The sequence below is a fragment of the Homo sapiens genome, chromosome 15, assembly GCF_000001405.40.
Source record: "Homo sapiens chromosome 15, GRCh38.p14 Primary Assembly".
Classification (NCBI taxonomy): domain Eukaryota; kingdom Metazoa; phylum Chordata; class Mammalia; order Primates; family Hominidae; genus Homo; species Homo sapiens.
The window spans coordinates 33,469,178-33,489,406 of NC_000015.10; the positions used below are offsets into that span (position 1 = coordinate 33,469,178).

General features: G+C 40.2%; 1 protein-coding gene across 20 annotated transcripts in view; it reads left to right on the plus strand.

Annotated features, from left to right (window-relative positions):
- Window positions 1-20,229, plus strand: part of RYR3 (ryanodine receptor 3) — a 555,136-nt gene that overhangs the window by 158,211 nt on the left and 376,696 nt on the right. For all 20 annotated transcript variants that reach the window (XR_001751370.2, XR_001751371.3, NM_001036.6 and 17 more), the window contains exon 2: window positions 4,242-4,361. Coding sequence is in view for 18 of the 20 variants with exons in the window: in NM_001036.6 (NP_001027.3) it covers window positions 4,242-4,361 (120 nt within the window). In the remaining 2 variants the exon portion in view is untranslated. The remainder of the gene's footprint in view (window positions 1-4,241; window positions 4,362-20,229) is intronic.

The following is a 20,229-nucleotide window of genomic DNA, read 5'->3' on the forward strand; positions in this document are numbered from 1 at the left end:
CATTTAAACTAAGCTTAGAAGAATAGGTAATATATGGACATGGAAAACTAGGGCAAGTTAGGGCAGCTTTTCAGAGATTTCATGATCAAAGGCATGGAAATAGGGAAACCCAACGCTACAGGGAAGAAGTTAGGATGATAGTTTGGAAATGTGGAAACCTCAGATACTAGTTCAGGAAGTTTATGTTTTTTGAGAGTGCCATTGAGGATTTTCAGCAAGAAAATAAGGCCAGAGCTATGCCTCTGGTAGCAGACTAGGGAAGAATGCTTTGGGTCAAATAATAGCCTTGTCTTGGTCTCAAGACCTCCAGTCTCTCCTTCTGCTGGCCCATTTGCTGTGATACAGGAAAAGGGGAGGACTCAGAGATACGAGATAATGATGTGTAAGCTGAGGTTGCCCAGAGGTTGGATGTGCTCTTGACAAACTTGGGGAATATAAAAGGATAGGTAGACTGAAAAAGAAGCCTTTCAGTGCACTGGGACATGTTGATTTGAAGTGTTTGTAAGTCCGCAGGTAAAAATAGATGGAGGTTTGGAACCCTTGAGTACCACCAGGTTGGAGGTACAGACTGAGTAACAGCTCCTCAGAAGTAAAGCAGGAAGCCTGAAGAATGAATGAGATTGCCAAGGGAAAATGACAAAGACCAATCGTTGAGCAGTCCCTTATATTTAGGGATGGCAGAAGAAAATAGAGATGGGAAGGATCCAACAGAAAGGCGGGAGCACTAGAAGAATACAGAGATGAATACGGGAATGGAGGGGTTTCAAGAAGGAGCATTTTAGGGATCCTGGGCATGACTTATTTGGGAGACAGTAAGGCAATAGGAATGAAGGAGAGACAAAGCTAGAGGTGTCAGGTAGAACTCAACTGTGGGGCACCTGAAATCCAGGCAGAGACATTTTGGCTTACTTGGTATAAAGCAGGAAACCTTTATGTGATCTTAATGATAGTATTTCCCGATGACTAAAGAGAATCATATTCTTATCCTAAAAGACAGAGGCTGGGTTTGAAAGGTCTTAGTGTCCCCCCAGCCCCCACCACCATTGCTTATTATTGCACCTTCTAACTTAGTACTTTCTTCTCTTTATTTTGTTTCTCTTTCTTTTAAAGATGGGAGGTATGGTTATTTTATATTGACAGAGTTGCATCTGCTGTGAGGCCTACAAAAGGAAAATTTTGTGGTCTTGTTCCAGTGAGATAGAGTTGAAACAAGCTGAAAATAAGTTACCAGGAAATCATACATTTATAGTGGCATAAAACCCCAGAGTTGTGTTATTTTCTCTATCAAAAAAAAAAAATCAACAGTCCTCCTTGAGAAAGAGGAAATAATGGAGATGAGAGCACTTTCTAGGAACTGGAAGTCTTTATAAAATAGAGCAAATCTAGTAAAAGTAAGGAATGCGAAAGCAAGAGAGAAAATGGGTCTGTAAAGGTGGATAGTCCAGTTCTGGATTTTAGAAGTGGGATCATTCTAGGTTATGACATGGAAGGTTCATGATAGTGTGCTACCAAAACAGGGTGGAAATCATTAGGTCCAACTGAAGAGTTTTTGCACGTGGGTAGAACAGTAAGGTCCAAATTTGGCATCAGGACATGTGAGAAGTAGGCAGACTTCTGGGAAAAGGAGATACAAAATGTGGAAGAATTTGCAGCCTTCGAGTAAGGGTGCTTCCTTGGAAATGACATCCTTCAGCAATGCCCAGATCTGATTTAAAGCAAAATGAGAAAAAAGGAGGGAGGATAATTCTAGGGGAGAAAGTGCAAACCAGTACAGGGATGAAGAGAAAGGCTTGTGTTCTAATTGGAGAGCTTGTGTTCTGTATTTTACTCAGGAGCAAGAGGAGTAATCAGATGGGTTGAATTAACTCATCTCATAATCCCAAACAGAATTCAGTGCAAAGATTTCAGTGTCAGGCACTCAAAAGCTCCAGATGTCTGTCTATTGAAGGTTTATGGAAATAATTGCTGCTATATGAAGCAAAGGCAGGTGCAGGCTGCCACTCCAGGTGGTGTCTGCAGCCAGGTCAGCATGGTTGAGCAGAAGGTTCCAGATAGAATGTGGGAAAGAGTAGAAATCGTTTGGAGAAGCATCAATTTGGCCCAGAGTCCCATACCCATCTGTGTGTCACCAGAGCCCCAACCTAGGAACACATGTGTGCAGGGCTGCTGTTCTGCAAATTGCTATTAATTAAATCAGGGCAGGTTATTGTATCAGTTTCTTGGCAGCTTGGGATGTGACTTATAGGATGGGGAAATTTCAGAAGACAATTAGGGAGACCCCAAGGCAGCTACTGCAAGGTCAAAGCCTTGGTGGTTTGGGCGCCTGGGGGATAGAAAGGGAAAGAGAATTGAGATCTTGAAAAGAGAACCTCAGAGGCACACATTGATGGGAAAACTGTCAACTTTCATGCCTTTGTAAAAAAAAAAAAAAAAAATCCATAATTACACTTCTTTGATTTCTAAATGCCTGAGTTTTGTTGTTGTTGCTTTAGTTTTTTGGGGGGTTTTAAGTTTTGTTTCTTTTTACTGGTTAACTGTGGTGGGGGAGACACATAACTATTTCTCAATAGGGGGTATTCTTGATTTGGGTGTGAAAGGTAAGTTTTGAGTACTACCTCTTGCATTGCTGATGACTTAACTTCCATGGCCCCTGCTTTCCAACACAAACAGCACATCTCAGTCATCTTGGCAACTAAGAGCCCCTCATTACCTGCCCCTGACCACCAATGCCATTAGGAGGATCCTAACGCCCCTGGTTGATACAGGATCTAGGGGCACACTCCACCTGAGGAAAAATTTCACTCTCTTCAGAGATTTCACTAAACCCCCACTTTTAAAGCAGTGATATTCTGGAGTTTTCTTCAGTCTCAATTAAAATGAAGACCATGAATTCTGATTTTACTATAAGCAAAGACTCCTGAATTTGTTTCTGACTCACTTAGATAATGAACAGTGACATTTCAGTGCTAGTAAAACTGTGGAGCTATGTTTTTCCACTCTTCGTTTCATACATCTACAACTTGTGGCTTCTCGCATTCCCCTGCAGCCCCTCACCTATCTCTGGGCACAAGCAGGTATCTTTGTAGGGGTCTGTTAATCGTGAATTGCTTCGCACTCTCACCAGGTGGGACCATTTTATTTTCTTCACTTCGTAGGCACATTCTAGACACAGTTTAAGAAAAATGATTTCTACTTAATCTGCCTTTCCAACACTCTGGTGACACTTTCCAACAAGACAATCTCTGACACTGAAGGACATGGAGGTGAGATGGGGCAATGGATGGCCAGATGCTCAGAAGGAGGGAGGCTCCAGCTGGCTCCCCCAGGTCACTTCCGTAACTTAACCACACCTGGAAATCTGTTTGCTGCTTGAAATCCAAAGCTATGTGGTGGTGACTAGGGAGCATGGCCTGACAGATAGGAGGGGCAGGAATGGAAGGATTAGTAAGGAAACTGTTTTCCTCTCCACCTCAGGGAGGGTTGTGCAAGAAAATGTTTTGGTGTAGATGGAGGGCTGCCTCTTTTCCAGGGCCTCTGAAATTTTAGGAGGGCTGCTTTTGGGATTGATATTTAGGAGGGAGGTCTACTCCTTGAGAATTCAGAGCAGTTCTTCTACTTGACCTTCAGTTCCTCCTCCTCTTACCTGATCTTCAAGGCATCTTTAATCTTCCTTTTCTGTGAGTCTAAAACCCATCTCCTTCACCCTCCATATCTTCCTCTACCATCTCTGGCAAATATGCGGCCCACGACATACACTGCCTTCCTCCAACAAAACATACTTTGCCTCTTCCACAACCTGAAACCCCAACACTTTCCCTCCACTCATCCCACCTTGCTCTGATCTTGTCTGTATTCTCTGTTCCCTTCAATCCTATCTTATTGTTTTATTCTATATTTGGAGAGATTGTATAAATTTGCTTTCATATTTGCCCAAATGTTGAAATCATCAGCTCACCTAGACCATATGCTTTGCACAGCTCTCAGAAGTGAGGCCTTGGCTGTATGTGTACTTGCCCCCACTGACCTCACTCCAGGATTAAGTAGAGTTCTGACTCACGGTAGATGCTCCGTGATGTCCTGTGAATAAAAAATCTCCTTCCGTAATCAGGTTTAAAAATAAAAACAAAAAGCACGTGGCTGTCAGGGATTGGTGGCTTACCTGACTCAGGTACAGGAAGGTGACTCGGGGCCTGGCTCAGCAGTTCCCCTTACTCATGTTTGGGTCTCTCTTCTCCTGGCAGGAGGATGAAGTGGTACTCCAGTGCATCGCCACCATTCATAAGGAGCAGAGGAAGTTCTGCCTGGCAGCCGAGGGACTTGGGAATCGCCTGTGCTTCTTGGAACCCACTTCAGAAGCCAAGGTGAGATTGGCTGTCCGCCCTACACCTTCTTCCACCTTGGCGTCTGACAAAGTCATTTAGGGGAGATACTGCTGGGAGATGGTGATGAGGACGACATTTGAAAGGACACATTTATTTTTTAAATGGGAAGCAGATCTGGTTTAAACCATAACTTTCCACAAGCCTAGGAATCGTTGATGTAGGAACCCAGAGCACTATGAAGAATTAGAGGTGCTTTGCCTGTCAGTGTTGTCCAGGACTCTGGGGAGGCTTTGAGCTCACTGTCAGTGCTGACCGAGGAGGTCTTAATACTCCCAGAATGCCTTTCTGTTGCTGTTAATTCCTAGAAATCTGAGTGTGTGTTCTTTACTCCCTGCTGTTGTTCTATTGCTACAGAGACTCACAGATGCCTGAGCCTGTGTTTCACAGTGAGCACACCCCTTTCAGTTCTGACTGCGCTGAGATTGTTGTAACTGTCTGCCCACTGTGACACGAGGGCAGAGAGTAATGTTTGCACTGGTCTCCGCCTGCATGGTGGCAATAATGCTGTGTCTTTTCAGCAGAACTTTTCTTTCTCCATTTTCAGGCTGTTTCTGCTTTTCATGATCTGTGTGTCAAGTGGATCTATGTGCTCAGCATTCTTGCAGTGCTTTTCAGTCCTGGGAAAACCTCTATATCCGTCAGGGTTCTCCAGAGAAACAAAGTCAACTGGATGCATGGATGGATGGTGGGCAGATGGGCAGATGGGTGGATGGGTGAGTGAGTGCGTGAGTGGGTAGGTAGGTAAGTATATAAGTGTATAGAGATTTCTTTTAAGAAATTAGTTCTTGCAGTCGTAGGGGCTAGTGAGACTGAAATCTGTAGTTAGTATCAGTAGGCTGGAAACTCAGGCAGGAGTTAATGCTGTCATCTTGAGGTAGAGTTCCTTCTTTTCTAGGACATCTCAGTTGTTCTGAAGGCCTTCATCTGATCGGATGAGGCATACCAAAGTTATCAAGGCTAATAGCCTTTTCTTAAAGTTAACTGACTGCAGATGTTAATTACATCTACAAAATACCTTCACATCAAAACCTATGGTGTCGTTTGGCTGAATAACGGCACTATGGCCTAGCCAAGTTGACATAAAACCCACCATCACACCCTCTAAGCTCAGTTTTTCTCACAGAACCTTTTTTAAAAAAACCGAAAACAAAAATCAGAAATTGGTAACATTTTCCAAAAGACCCACCTATTGGCATGCCATTTTCCACATAAACATACACAACACAGACATACACAGAGAGTTTGGCTAAAATCTGTAACACCAGATGTCCAGGGTGATGGCCACGTCCTCCAGAAGCCTTCTTGTACTTCTCCCTCCCTTGTAGGTCACTGATCTGTGGATCCATAAGGATAGACATGAACCAGAGTCCCATTAAAATATATGGGATAGAAGAGAGACAAGGAAAATTTTTATCTTTTTAAAGATCTTTGACTTGATTTTCCTAAGGCCTTTTCTCATTTGCTTTTGTTCTTAGCTAGGTTTTTTTGTTTTTTTGTTTTGCTTTGTTTTGTTTTTCATTCCCGGCAGTCTGGGATAATAGGGAGGTCATTAGATTAGAAGTCAAGAAGTTAATTCTCAACCATGAGCTACTCATGTGACCGTGGGACAAGTCAGTCACTCATGTTTGCAATTTTCTCATCTGCCAAATGAGGTGCAGGACAATCCAATGGGAAGTGTGTTGACCTAAATTAGAAAACAAGTGGTATCCTTTTCTAGTCATCCATCGAGTAGGGTATAGGGCAGTGCTTTAGGGCAGCAGTTCCCAACCTTTTTGGCACCAGGATCCAGTTTTATGGAAGAGAGTTTTTCCACGGATGGTGGGAGATGGTTTCAGGATGAAACTGTTCCACCTCAGATCATCGGGCATTAGATTCTCATAAGGAGCGTGCAACCTAGATCCCTCACGTGCACAGCTCACATTAAGGTTCATGCTCCTATGAGAATCTAATGCTGCCACTGATCTGACAGGAGGCAAAGCTCAGGCAGTAATCCTCACTCACCTCCTGCTGTGCAGCCTGGTTCCCAACAGGCCATGAACTGGGTCCATGGCCCCAGGGGTTGGGGACCCTGCTTTAGGGCACAGGCTGTGAGCCAGACTGTCAAAGTTGGAATCCTGTCTCTACCACTTGCTGGCTAAACCAGGACCTTGGACAAGGTACCTCACTTTTCTGAGCTGAGTTTTCTCATCTGCTTAATGGGAATTTAATAGTAACTACCCTATAAGATTGCTGTCAGGATCAAATGGGTTCGTAAATCGCCTAGTGCATTGTAAGCTTGATAAAACCACTGGTTATTATGATTTCATATTGTACAAGACATTTAAACTGGGACTTAGTTTCTTGTTCTTTAAAATAAGGAAAACTAATTACCTTTCAGGGGGACTGTGAAAATAAAGAGAAATAATATATATAAAGCACATAATACTGAACTAATACAGTACACTTAACAGCTAGAGTTGATAATAATACTAAGTATAAAGTTGTTATCCCTTTTGACTTACAAGGTCTGATTTTGTGTAAAAGACAGAAAGACCACGGATCAGCCCCTGAACTTACAAAATCTTGAGTTTAGAATGAAAGTCTTGGAATTACAAATTCATGTAACTATCATATAATTCTATAAACATGTCTCTGTATTTATCGTTGTTTTACCCGAGCTAGATTAGAAACAACAGTGTGTTGTAATCTGAGAATGCTTTGTATCCCTCAGGCATAGAAACGATAAGTCATACACTCATAGATGAATTGGGGATGAGGAAATGTCTTTCCTAACATCCACTTAACTAAGTGATTGTTCTTATTTTAATTTGTCATTCTAAATTTCAAGCAAGATAAGACTGAAGAATTTTAAAAAGAGATACATGTCATCCATAATTTTACCACTTTGTCACAACTATTTTCATTTGTTTTTCATTCTAGCCTTTGCCCACGTGTACCTGTCTGTTTTCAAAGTTGTACTCATACTGGTTATTCAGACATTCTCTGTTTTGGGTTTTTTCTTTACTATTTCAGCCAGTTCCATATTGCTATATGGTCTTCATGAATGGTAAAAAAATAATATGCCTATGGTTTTCTTGGTTTATTTTGGCTTTCGGGAGTAAATATCCAGGAGTAGAATTAATGGTGTCGGAAGCATGAACACTATTAAACTGCTTTCCCAAAATGATAGATAAATTGTTTACAGTTGACATACCCACCATCCTTGCATGAGTGTGCCCCTTTTATATGTAGCATGAGGGAAGTGCGCCATCAGGGTTCTCACAGAGAAACAGGGTCAAATTCACGGTAAGGATAGAGCAGATATTCAGAATTTCTTGTCACCATTCCTGGGAGCAGTCTGCTAGAGGAACTTGGGTTCCAAGAGCTTCATTCTTTCCTGCAGTCATTTGCAGCTATGCAACCCTCTCTTTTGGCTGGTTGTCTTCTCCCTTATTACTAAATAGTTGCCCTAATTCTCTACCATCAAATTTCTCAACGAGCTGTACCATTCTTAGATTCTTGTATCCTAATGGAAGTCATGCAGTGAGGTGAGGAGGTATGTTTCCAAGCTTGGCACTGGGCATGAGGCACAGACATCAAATATCCTTCTTCTCAGCTGGCTACAGAGCCTACCGGTGACCTTGGGCATTTCTAGTCAAGGGTGTTTTAAGCTAGTTGAGACTCAGAGAAAATTGAGATGAATTCTATGGAGAAGAAAGACCTCAGAGAAAAAAAGAGATAAAGTGTTCAAAAACTATTCTTGGTGTGTGACCCGGAGAAAAGGAGATCATATGGAAGCAAAGGAGTGAGAGGATAGAAGAATAAAGGGCATGAGTATAATAAGATCATTAACACTTGCTATAGACATGAAGAGTATTTAGCACTTGGGAAGTCTCCCAGGACTTTGATTCCTGTATGCCATGGTCCACCCTTCCTTGAAGGTCTCCTGAAACTGCCATTAATTGATGGAAGCACTATTATTCAGCTCCCTTTCAAATAAGCAAAGGTTCAGGAATTTAAAGGTATCTTGTTTTGTTAAAAAAAAAAAAAAAAAAGGCTGGGCGCGGTGGCTCACGCCTGTAATCCCAGTACTTTAGGAGGCCGAGATGGGCGGATCACGAGGTCAGGAGATGGAGACCATCCTGGCTAACACGGTGAAACCCCATCTCTACTAAAAATACAAAAAATTAGCCGGACGTGGTGGCGGGCGCCTGTAGTCCCAGCTACTCGGGAGGCTGAGGCGGGAGAATGGCATGAACCCGGGAGGCGGAGGTTGCAGTGAGCGGAGATGGCGCCACTGCACTCCAGCCTGGGCGACAGAGCGAGATTCTGTCTCAAGAAAAAAAAAAAAAAAAAAAAAAAAAAAAAGACTAGGGGCTATTACCAGAGACTCAGAAAAAAGAGAGAGGAAATGTTTCTTTTTCATTTTATCGATAGCAAATGTTTATTTACTTTCCTTTTTACTCAATAGAAAATGTGTTCCTAGGCACTAGGAATTTAATACTTTCCCTCTGGTCCTTCACATTATATCTCATCTATTCTGTATCTGCAGTGTCCACTTGAGGGGGTTGGGGGGGGTGGTTTGGTTCAACTTTACATCCATACTCATAAGACTCTCATAGACCACTTGGCATCAGTCTTCTCAGAAGGACATAGGACAGAAACCATGGCTTGCCAGCTGGGATGTGTCAAGTACTGCATTTCGGCAGAAACCCCTATAGCAATTCAGGGGCTGGCTTCTGGATTTCCAATCCCCAGATGACAGCTCAGGTACAAAGAGCTTGAGAGGGTCCACGTCAGGCAGGTGTGAGAGTCACCATGGCTTAAAAGCCTCACGTACCATAGGAACCAATATATCTGTAACAATTCCATAGGCATAGCTTTTGAGGACTCCACAAAGGCAGCCCCAGCTACAAGAGTCGCTGCACTCCAAGAATATGCCCTTCTAAAATACGTATTGATAGTCTTCCCAGTCCACATGCAGGCTATCAATCAGGGATCATTTTCACCACAAGCAATGTACCCTGGTAACATGACTTACATACAGGTTGTATCAAGTAACCATGGGAACAAAACTGGAGAGTTAACTGAAGGTCAAATTCTCATGCAAAAGGAGTTTTAAAAAGTCATAACACTTACCCCACAGTAATCTTCAATGATGACAATTATTTAACTACTATGGCCTTGTTAGATATATCCGGAACCCCAATACCCTTCCAAATCCCAACTTCCACCTTTCTTAATAGTAGATCATCATCAAGAAATGGGAAGAATATGAGAACTATTTTTTGTTTAAAATAAGTTTCAACAGACCAAGGTTTGTTTCATTGATTTTAAGGAAGAAGAAACTAAGATAGGTGGAGTAAAACAATTTACCTTAGTGCCCTTTAAAAAGCCAGTGGCATGTCTAAAGTCTTGAGGCTGTAGGTATGTAACAGTGAAGTCCCACTTCTTTTTTGAGGAATTCTTTCTTACTGATCATGGCTTGTTCAAACTGAAAAATACAGTTTTCAAATCCAATGGAAATTTTCATTTTATTGTTTTCATCTCCTGTTTGCAGAATGATGGAATAGTGTGCTATTGTTTGAGAGTTATGTAGGCTCTGAAGACCCAGGATTAAACATTAGCTGTTGTACAAACATCATTATGTAGATGACATAAATTAAGATTGCATCTTTGGCTAAAAATAACTTATTTTCTATTATTTTTAGATTCTTTAGCTGAGAAAGAGATTACTGTTTCCTCCTAAAAAATTAAGTCTGTGAAGATTTGCAGAGACAGACTCATCCTAAGGTTGTACAGCCTTCTTTGAACTTCTGATGTATGTTAGTACATAGTATTCTCTATGGACCTGAGATCTTATGAAAGACCAGGCTATTATAAAACTTTAAAAAAAAAAAACTCCCTTATCATGTAATATGAAGAGGCATATAAGCTGAGATTTTGACTTTTTTTTTTTTTTTTAACATTTATCAGGCATCATGCGCTATGTCCCAAGTAATGCCGTGGGTGCCTACTGCTTTCATTTACTCTTTATGACTCTATAAAGCAAACATTGTCCTCATTTACAGAGAAGAAAGGTGTAAGAATTTAAACTGAGTTAAGTGACTTCATGAAGATTGTTCATTCCAAACCTGAATCACTGTCTAATTTCTGTAATATTCAGAAATAAAGAGTATCGTGGATCCAGCTTACATAAGGGTAAAGAAGGCATATTACTCCATGTAATTAGACTTCAGAAATGCCTGGGCACATCTCCATACCCCTCCCACAACTTTTCTACATCTGTCCTATGACTGTCTGGCATTCCTAAGTTAGAAATATATATTTTGCTTAAATCAAACAGGAACTAGTAAAATGCAAATGCTTTGAGTGAGCCATAAAGCAGTGTTAAATTTTTGTACAGCTAATATTTTACAATATAAATGAGAATATCATGTATTTTCTTCAAAGTAAGTTTCTAAAGGGATCTAAGGCAGATTATTATGTGCCTCTATATTGGGATAGAGGTACCCAGACATGGTAAGACTGGGGAGGAGGGGTGCAAAACATCTACTGCTTTAATTTGTGACAGTTTATCTGACTTTTCTTCTGCCTTTCCACAAGTCTGTGAGCACTGACATCAAGGACTTTTGTATAGCTCTGTATAGCACAGTGCTTAATAAACTTGACCCTGGAGTCAGACTGCCTGGACTGGTAATTCTGGCTCCAACACTTAGCTGTGTGACTGTGGGCAAATGACTTTACTGCTCTCTGCCTCAGTTTCTTCATCCTTCAAACTGTACCCATCTCATAGGATTATTATGAAGATTCAGTGACACAGGTTCAAAATTGTAATATGCTTTACAGCAGTTCCTAACACATCAGAAGTGCTATATTTAAGCAGTAGCATTTAGTATCAGCACAGGGTCATACACATATTAGGTCCTCAGAAAATGTTGATTGGCTTAGTTAAGTTGCCCATGTGTACTGAATTAACTAATTGAATTTTTGAAAGCCTGGATGTAAGAATCAGGAGGATATTTGTGACTTTTAAAAGTAAAATATTAAGGAGAGTCAGAGGGAGTTAGATAAAAAGTGTTAGTGAGTGGATGTTTTAAACAATGAATCAGTGGGATATAAGTTTTAATTGTTACTAATTTTTATTTTAATTCTGATGTGCTCAGAAAACATTCTGTGTATCACTCCAATCTTTTTCAATGTATGGAGACTTATTTTATGGCCCAGCATATGGTCTATGTTGGTGAATGTTTCAGGTGTCTTGAAAACATGGTGTGTCCTGTAGTTGTTGGATGTAGGTTTTATGGATGTCAAGATGGTCAAAAGGGGTGTTCAAATCTTCTATGTCCTTACTGAAATGTGTCTGCTGTTTTATCAATTATTGAGAGAAAGGTGTTAAAAACTATGAGGATTTGTCTCTCTTTAGTTCTGTCACTTTTGTTTCATGTATGTTAAAGCTCTGTTATTAGGTGCATGTGTATTCAGAATTTTTGTTTTTCATGATGAATTGATCCTTTTGTCATTATCAAATTGTCCTATTTGTCCTTGGTCTTATAGTATGCTTTGACTCATGCTAGTGTAGCCATAAGCTTTCTTATGCTTACTGTTTATATGGTACATCTTTTTCATCAGTTTTTTACCTTATGTATGTATTTATATCTTTATATTTAAAATGTATCCCTTATAAACAACATATAGGTAAGTACTGTTTTCCTACCCCATTTTACAATCTCTGGTGTTTAATTGGAATGTTTTATTCATTTACATTTATTGTAATAATTAGATACTCAGGTTTTAGTCTACCTTCATGCTATTCTTTTGTCTCCTCTGGATTTTGTTCTTCTGTTTCTCCTTTTTTGCCTTTAAATAAAGTAAAGTTATGACATTTTATCTTCTCTGTTGGCTTTTTAGCTCTACCTCTTAGTATTATTTTTGAATACTTTTTTTTTTGGGTTTTTTTGAGACAGAGTCTTGCTCTGTCACCCAGGCTGGAGTGCAATGATGCAATCTCAGCTCACTGCAACCTCTGCCTCCTGGGTTCAAGCAGTTTTCCTGCCTCAGTCTCCCAAGTAGCTGGGATTACAGGCACCTGCCACCAGGCCCAGCTAATTTTTTGTATATTTAGTAGAGATGGGGTTTCACCATGTTGGCCAGGCTGGTCTGGAACTCCTGACCTCAGGTGACCCACCCGCCTCAGTCTCCCAAAGTGCTGGGATTACAGGAGTGAGCCACCAGGCCTGGCCTTGAATACTTTTTTTTTTTTTTTTTTTTAGTAATTAAAATATAAATCGTTAACTTATCACAGTTTTCCTTGCATTCATATTTATACAAATTCCCTTATATCTTTTGTGCTATTATTGTCAGAGATTTTATTTCTACCCATTTAAAATGTGTAACACATTTTTATTTTTGTTTCAAAATGTCAATAGTCTTTTAAAGAAATAAAAGGGAAGAAGAACCTTTTATAAAATTAATGTATTTGCCATTTTCAGTGCTCTTTTTTTCTCTCCTCTAGATCCAGATTTCTATCTGGTAGCATTTTCCTTCAACCTGAAGGATATTCCTTAGTGTTTCTTATACTTCAGATCTGCTGGGGACAAACTCTCCAAGCTTCTTTTTCACTGAGAATGTCTTTATTTTGTCCCTGTTTTTGAAGGATTTTTCTCTGGATAAAAAATCATTATTTAGTTTTTTTTCTTCTTCTTGCAGCACTTTGAAGATGGCATCTTATTGCCCTTTTGCCTCCATTGTTTATGATGTAAAGTTAGCTCTCATTTTTATCATCATTCTTCTATATGTAACAAACCTTTTCCTCTGGAAAGTTTTAACATTTTTTTCTTTATCTTTGACTTCTAGCAATTTGGTTTTTGTTGTTGTTGTTGTTGTTTGTTGTTGTTTGAGATGGAGCTTCACTCTTGTCACCCAGGCTGGAGGGCAATGGCGCCATCTCCGCTCCCTGCAACCTCCCCCTCCCAGGTTCAAGCAATTCTCCTGCCTCAGTCTCCTGAGTAGCTGGGATTACAGGCGCAAGCCACCATGCCTGGCTAATTTTTGTATTTTTGTAGGGATAGGGTTTCACCATGTTGGCCAGGCTGGTCTCGAACTCCTGACGTTAAGTGCTCCTCCCACCTCAGCCTCCGAAAGTGCTGGGACTACAGGCGTGAGTCACTGTGCCCAGTCAGGTTTCTAGCAATCTGAATGATGTGTTTGAGGGTAGTTTTCTTTAAATTTATCTTGCCTGGATTTTGATGAGCTGAGCTTTATGGATCTTTTGGTTGTTGTTTTTCATTAAGTATAGAATTTGGGGGACATTATTTCTTAAAATATTTTATGTGCCATATTTACTCTCTCCTGGGACTCCAACTACTTATATGTTAGATTGTTTTATATTGTTCCACAGGTCACTATGACTCTATCCATTTTTTCTTCAACTATTTTTTTATCTATGCATCTGCCTGAATACTTTCCATTGACCTATTTTATATTTATTTATTCCCTTTTTTAATGTACATGTGCTATTAACCCCCTCTAATGAATTTATTTCAGGCTTTTATTTTTAAATTCTAAAGTTTGCAGTTGTTTATTTCTAAGGTTTCTGTTTATTTTCTAAGATTCTTCTTTCTCCTCCATTATTCTTTCTCCCCTTCCATTATCTCTCTCTTCTCCCATTATTCCCATTTTTTTGGTAAATTCATTAATAAATTTATAATCATTATTTAAATCCTTGACTACCAATTCAACGTCTTGAATGTCTGTAGGTCTGCTTCTAATGACTGACTTTGCTCTTGGTTATAAGTCACATTTTCCTATTTCCTTTAATATTTAGTATTTTTAAATTTTATACTGAACATTGTAGATGATATTTTATAGTTATTCTGGTTTCTGTTGTCTGCCCCCTGAGGAATATTGTATTTTGTTGTAGCTGGCAGTTAAATTACTAGTGTGTCTCCTTCATCTTGTGCCAGCTTGCTCCATTTAAATTTTGCCCTTAGTTCTAAGGTGCTGTTCCTGGTCTCCAGATGTAGTCTTTTGGGATTTTAATGAAAAGCCTGCAGTATTTTCTAAACACCTCTAAATAGCCAGACTTGAAAACCAAATTTTGCCATTCCAGAAATAAGTAGCTGTTGAAACTTTTGCTTATTCTAAGCATTTTAGCTGTTGCTTTCTAGCAATGCTGTCTTATATAGCTTATGAGTTGGCAAACAAATTGAGGGGAATTTGTATACTGATCTTGGGTTTTATTAATCTATGGTGGTTTCCTTGTTCCTAACATTTCTCCTCTTCTATTTCCAGACATTCTGGTAGCCCCATACTCAGGTCTCTTACTTCCTAGAAGCCTTTTTCTTGACATCTATTCCCCATGGATCCTATGAACAGGAGAGTACCCTTAGAAGAAAATTTAATTAAATGTTTATAGCACCTGATTGACTTCTCATCTTTAAAAAGTAATATTCCTTTCAGTTCTAGATTGCTCCCTGGTGCCTTCAAATAGTTATTTATTTAAATATTTATCCAGAATGTATCATTGTTATTGGCAAGAGGATTATTTTGCTATAGGTAGTTCCACCATTACCTGAACCAGAACCTCATCAATGAGTATTCATTGCTCTTTAAAAGAAGTTGAGTGTTTAAATGAAGAAGAGAAAAAAAAAATGACGGTTGAAGTAGAATTGAAGTCTTATAAAGAAAAAGTTTTAAGGTTGTAAAGAAAAAGTTTTCATAAGAGACACAAGCATGTTTCTAGGAAGAGAAGAAAAGGGCCCTAGAAAAGGAAAGAGAAGGTTCCAAAAGATAGAACTATAGGCATATGCAAAAGATAGAACTTTCTTTGGCATATGCCAAAGCTTCACTCAATTTAATTTCCTCTCTAATAGATGGCACTACTAGAGAGGGAATTAAATTGAGTATGGTTTTGGCATATGCAAAAGAAAAGATAGGTGATGAGGGCACAGATTTTGAAGTAGCAAGGATGGGAGCTGAACATGTATAGGGACTTATTGCTGAAGGAAAACATAGACTTGTGATCATTGTATAGATTCCTCATGTGAATAGGAGATGAATAGGCTTGGATTACATTGAATTCAGGTATGGGTAACAATTCATGGAGTGGCAAAGGGATCAAGGTAGGAGGAGTCAAGTATGATGCTAGAGTTATAGGTTTTAGCTGCCTGTAACTGGCTGACATATCATTGAGTGAAATAGGGCATATATTGGAGGAGGGATAAAGGAAGACAGAGGGAGGAGATGGAATTTATGAACTAAATTTTAGTCATGTGGAATTCAAAAAGCCTGTAAGACATCCAACAGAAAATTTTGGTAGGCATCTGTATATATGACTTAAGAGTTCAAAAGAGAGGTTGGGATGGAAGTAATGTTCAGGAGTTACTGGCTTAAGTAACTCCTTAGTAAAGGAATTGGTAAATCACACTATGAGAGTGAATACAGAAAATGTTTATTAAAAAGAGAGGAGGGCCTGGGAAATGTCAATAATTAAAAATGAATGGAGAAATAAACGATAAGAAGGAACATCCTGAGAGATCAGAAAAGAAATAGGCATGTGTGTCATAGAAGTCACAGAAATCAAGAGAAGAATATCAAGAAGGAATATAGTCATAGGGTAGAATACCACTTGGAGAAGATGGCATGTCCATTAGATAAAGTGACATGGAGGCCAGTGACAACCTTGGAGGGAGCTCTTTCAATGGCATGTGGTGAGGACAGAAGCCAATTTAGAGAACTTGAGCAATAAGAAGAAAGTAAGAAAATAAAGACAACCAATGAGGCATCTCTGAAAGAGAATGATGGCAGGATAGGGTCTTAGAATGGAAGGATTTTTGAAATAGGAAAGACTTCAGAATGTTTAAATGCTGAGGGGAAGATATATGTGGAAAAGAGAAGAGAGGAGATACAGGAGAGGGAAGAGGTGGTCAGTGTGCAAAATTGCCGATACAGTGGAAAGGCCTGGTGTTAAGAACAGAGACAAGGAACTGACTTTCAGATAAATGAGGAACTCATGTTTCATTGAATAGGAAGGAAAACGTCAAGGATGAGGGTGGATCTGTAGGTTTTTGTGCAGAAAGTTTTGGAGAGGGAGCTGCCTAGAGAAGAATAATGGCATTTCCAAATAGTGTGAGAGCATAGGGTTGAAGACCACTTGAGGATGACGACCATGAATTTTTAGTGCTACGCATTTTCTAGATTGTGTCACTCTCTGCAGCAGTCCCAGCACAGGCATGAAGAAAGTGGATTGTTAAATTCAGCCAGGATCAAAGTGTTGCCAGGCAAGTATGATAAACAACAAAGGGGCAAAAGAGTTGAGGAGATTGGACCATGGAGTCTTGGAATTTAAGTTGAATGAGGAAAGAACAAAAGATAGGAGTGAAAATGTATAAAGGATATAAATAGTAGGGAGAGTAGTTTAATGAGTGAGCGAGCAAGTTGGAAGATGAGTACATGGTTAGACAGTGGCCTGTCTCAGTCAGAGGTCTCAGAGTAGAGGACATAGAAACAACCCCTAGGTGTATGACCATGAGAGGGTGTGACTGACTTGGAGCGTGGAAGATCGTTGATAAAGAGGAAGCCAAATAACTGAGGAGTTGTAAGATGGAATATTCATTCATTAGTAGGGCTACTGTAACAAATTACCACAATCTAGATGGCTGAAAACAACAAATTATTCTCTTGCAGTTCTGGAGGCTAGAATTGGAAATCAAGGTGTTATCAGGGCCATGCTCCTTCCAAAGTCTCTAGGGCAGGATACTTCCTTGCCCATTCCATTTTCTGGTAGCTTTAGGCATTCTTTGGTTTGTGGAAGCATAACCCCAGTCTCTGCCTCCATCTTTACGTGGCTTTTTTCTCTGTGCACGTCTTTGCCTGTACATAGCATTTTGTTGTTCGTATAAAGGACATCAATCACCTTGTAAGAGGGCCTCCATCTCAACTTGATTATATCTGATAAGGTCATATTCACAGGTACAGGGGGTTAGGAATTCAACATATCTTTTGCGGGGACACAAAACCATATATCAGTATGAATGTTCAAATCACTAGGAGCAGAAATGAAGAGAAGACAGATTTCAGTAAAGGAATAATAGGTCAAAGTACACAAACATCAAAGAGGAGGGGAGTAGAGGGTGATGTTGCCAGGTTTGCAAATCTTAGAGTTAACAGTTTGTAGAAGAATAATGATCTAAAACCAGTGCTGAGCAGCAGAAGTGCATAGGCCCCACCTTGTGAGCCTGAGTTATTTGGTGAGAGAATGAGTATCCTGTGATTAGGAAGTCCCCAAGAGAAGCAGGGTCCTTTGGGAGGACCTGAGTTTCATTTGTTCAGGCTCAGAGTGAGAAGTGGTGCCCAGGGAGAACTTTGGGATGGATGGCTGGGCGCAGTGGGTCATGACTGTAATCCCAGGACTTTTGAGAGGCCGAGGCAGATGGATCACATGAGGCCAGGAGTTCAAGACCACCCTGGCCAACATGGCAAAAACCCATACCTACTAAAAATACAAAAATTAGCCAGGTGTGGTGGTGGGCATCTATAGTCCCAGCTACTTGGAAGGCCAAGGCATGAGAATGGCTTGAACCCAGGAGGCGGAGGTTGCAGTGAGCTGAGATCATGCCACTGCACTCCAGCCTGTGTGACAGAGCAAGACTCCATCTCAAAGAAAAAAAAAAAAGTGTGAGGTGGATGATTGAGCATATTGATCCCGGAGTAGGCATTCCAGCAGGGTTGGAATGGGCAAAAGGCTGAGTTAGGTGAATGGAGGGTGAGAGAACTAAGAAAATGAAAATACAGAAGAGGAAAAATGATACAGCAGAGGATTTAGATAGTGGCAGTTGCTGAAAGAAAACAAAACAAGGGCATGAGACTTTTGGGTTTAATCCTGCTGTCTTCTGGAGCATGGTGGGCATGTAGTGGCATGTAGCAGATAGATGCTGGATAGTCGTTTTGTTTGACCTAGACATTCTTTTTTATCTTAGCTACCAGAGTGCCTGTTTACAAGTACAAGCCTTGCTGCCCAACATTTTGGGTGAACAGAGTTCACTAAGAATGTTCAATCTTATGCACATATGGTGGGCTGGCCCTGTGGTGAGGTTCTATGGGGACCATGGTGGGCACTATGCATTGAGAAACTAGCCTACATCAGGCCGTTGTTCCTGTTGTGCCAGGGATTATTGCTGTCACATGCAGGCAGAACAAAAAGGGTCATTTCATATTCATCCATATGCAACTTCAAGGTGAAGGGTTGGGATGCAATCCTAACTATGTTCAGATTCTGAAAAACATGGCTCCACATTCCAGTTCTTCGTGATTGGCAGCTGAACTGTTTTCTTTCAGGAAATTATCTTCCTGTTTCTACATCCACATTGCTCCTCACGTTCTGCTATTTCTAACAGTCAAGGAATGGAGAAGGGAAATAGATATCTAAAGAAATAGCATAGAAGTCAAGTGCAACACATGTCAAGTTTATTAATGTATTTGTCATTTGTTGAACCCATAGTAGAAAAGAAAAAAACATCCACCTTTTAACTCTGAGATCTCTCCTCATCTATATTGTCCTCCTTCCTACTTGAGTTATTAATGCTGTCTTGATAACTTATCTGCTTGAGGCAATACCAAACCCCTCTTCTTATTTAAAGGCAATCTGTACCTTAGTGGTGGGAATCTTCACAAAGAATTTATTCAGTGTGTAAAGTAGCACCATAAGTCTGCTGTTCATTTGTCATTTACTTGCTCACAGCAGGCCAGTGGCCCCAGGTGAATTATGAATAGGTATTCATACATAGGCACCTCTGTCACGCTTAGTACTTTGCTCTTTAGACCTAATAGCTGCTATTTTGGTCTCGATTAGCAGTATTTTTTTTCTTCCTCCGCCGACTCCTGAACTTACTAATTAGATCACAGTCTTGCCTTTTTTTTTTTTTTTTCTGTGATTAGAACATCTCTTTTCTAGGTGTTGTTTTTACATGGAAGAAGAAATAAAATGGTATATTGTGTTTGTGTTAGAACTTGACTTTTAAGAACCCAAGTCATGGCCGGGCATGGTGGCTGATGCCTGTAATCCCAGCACTTGGGAGGACAAGGCGGGCAGATCACAAGGTCAGGAGATCGAGACCATCCTGGCCAACATGGTGAAACCCCGTCTCTACTAAAAATACAAAAAATTAGCCAGGCATGGTGACACGTGCCTATAGTTCCAGCTATTCGGGAGGCTGAGGCAGGTAATCGCTTGAACCCAGGAGGCGGGGGTTGCAGTGAGCCGAGACTGCACTACTGCACTCCAGCCTGAGCAACCGAGCGAGACTCTATCTCAAAAAACAAACAAACAAACAAACAAAAACCCAAGTCATGTTACATCTGTCATCTTGATTCTTCATGGATATTTTCAAACCAGGAGGTAAAACCTAAGTCATGGTTATGACCTTTTGTGTTGTATTTTGAAGTTATGTGCATGCTCATAATTCACAAATCATACTACTGTTTTGGGTAGTGATTCAAGAGATCTGGCTTTGCTCTCCTTCTAACTTGCTGTAAAATGTTATGCAAAATGACCTCTCAGGCCTGAATTTTGCTACCTGTCACATGAGGAAATATTTTATGAAGGAAATGCCTACAATTTTTTTTAGAAATTAAGATTTTCAGACATTTACATCGACAGCTTTATGTTCCTTATTTTTTTAACTTTTAAGTTCAGGGGTACACTTGAAGGTTTGTTACATAGGTAAACTTGTGTCACAAGGGTTTGTTGTACAGAGTATTTCATCATCCAGGTATTAAGCCCAGTGCCCAGTAGTTATTTTTTCTGCTCCTCTCCCTCCTCCCACCTTTCGCCCTCAAGTAGACCCATGTCTGTTGTTTCCTTCTTTGT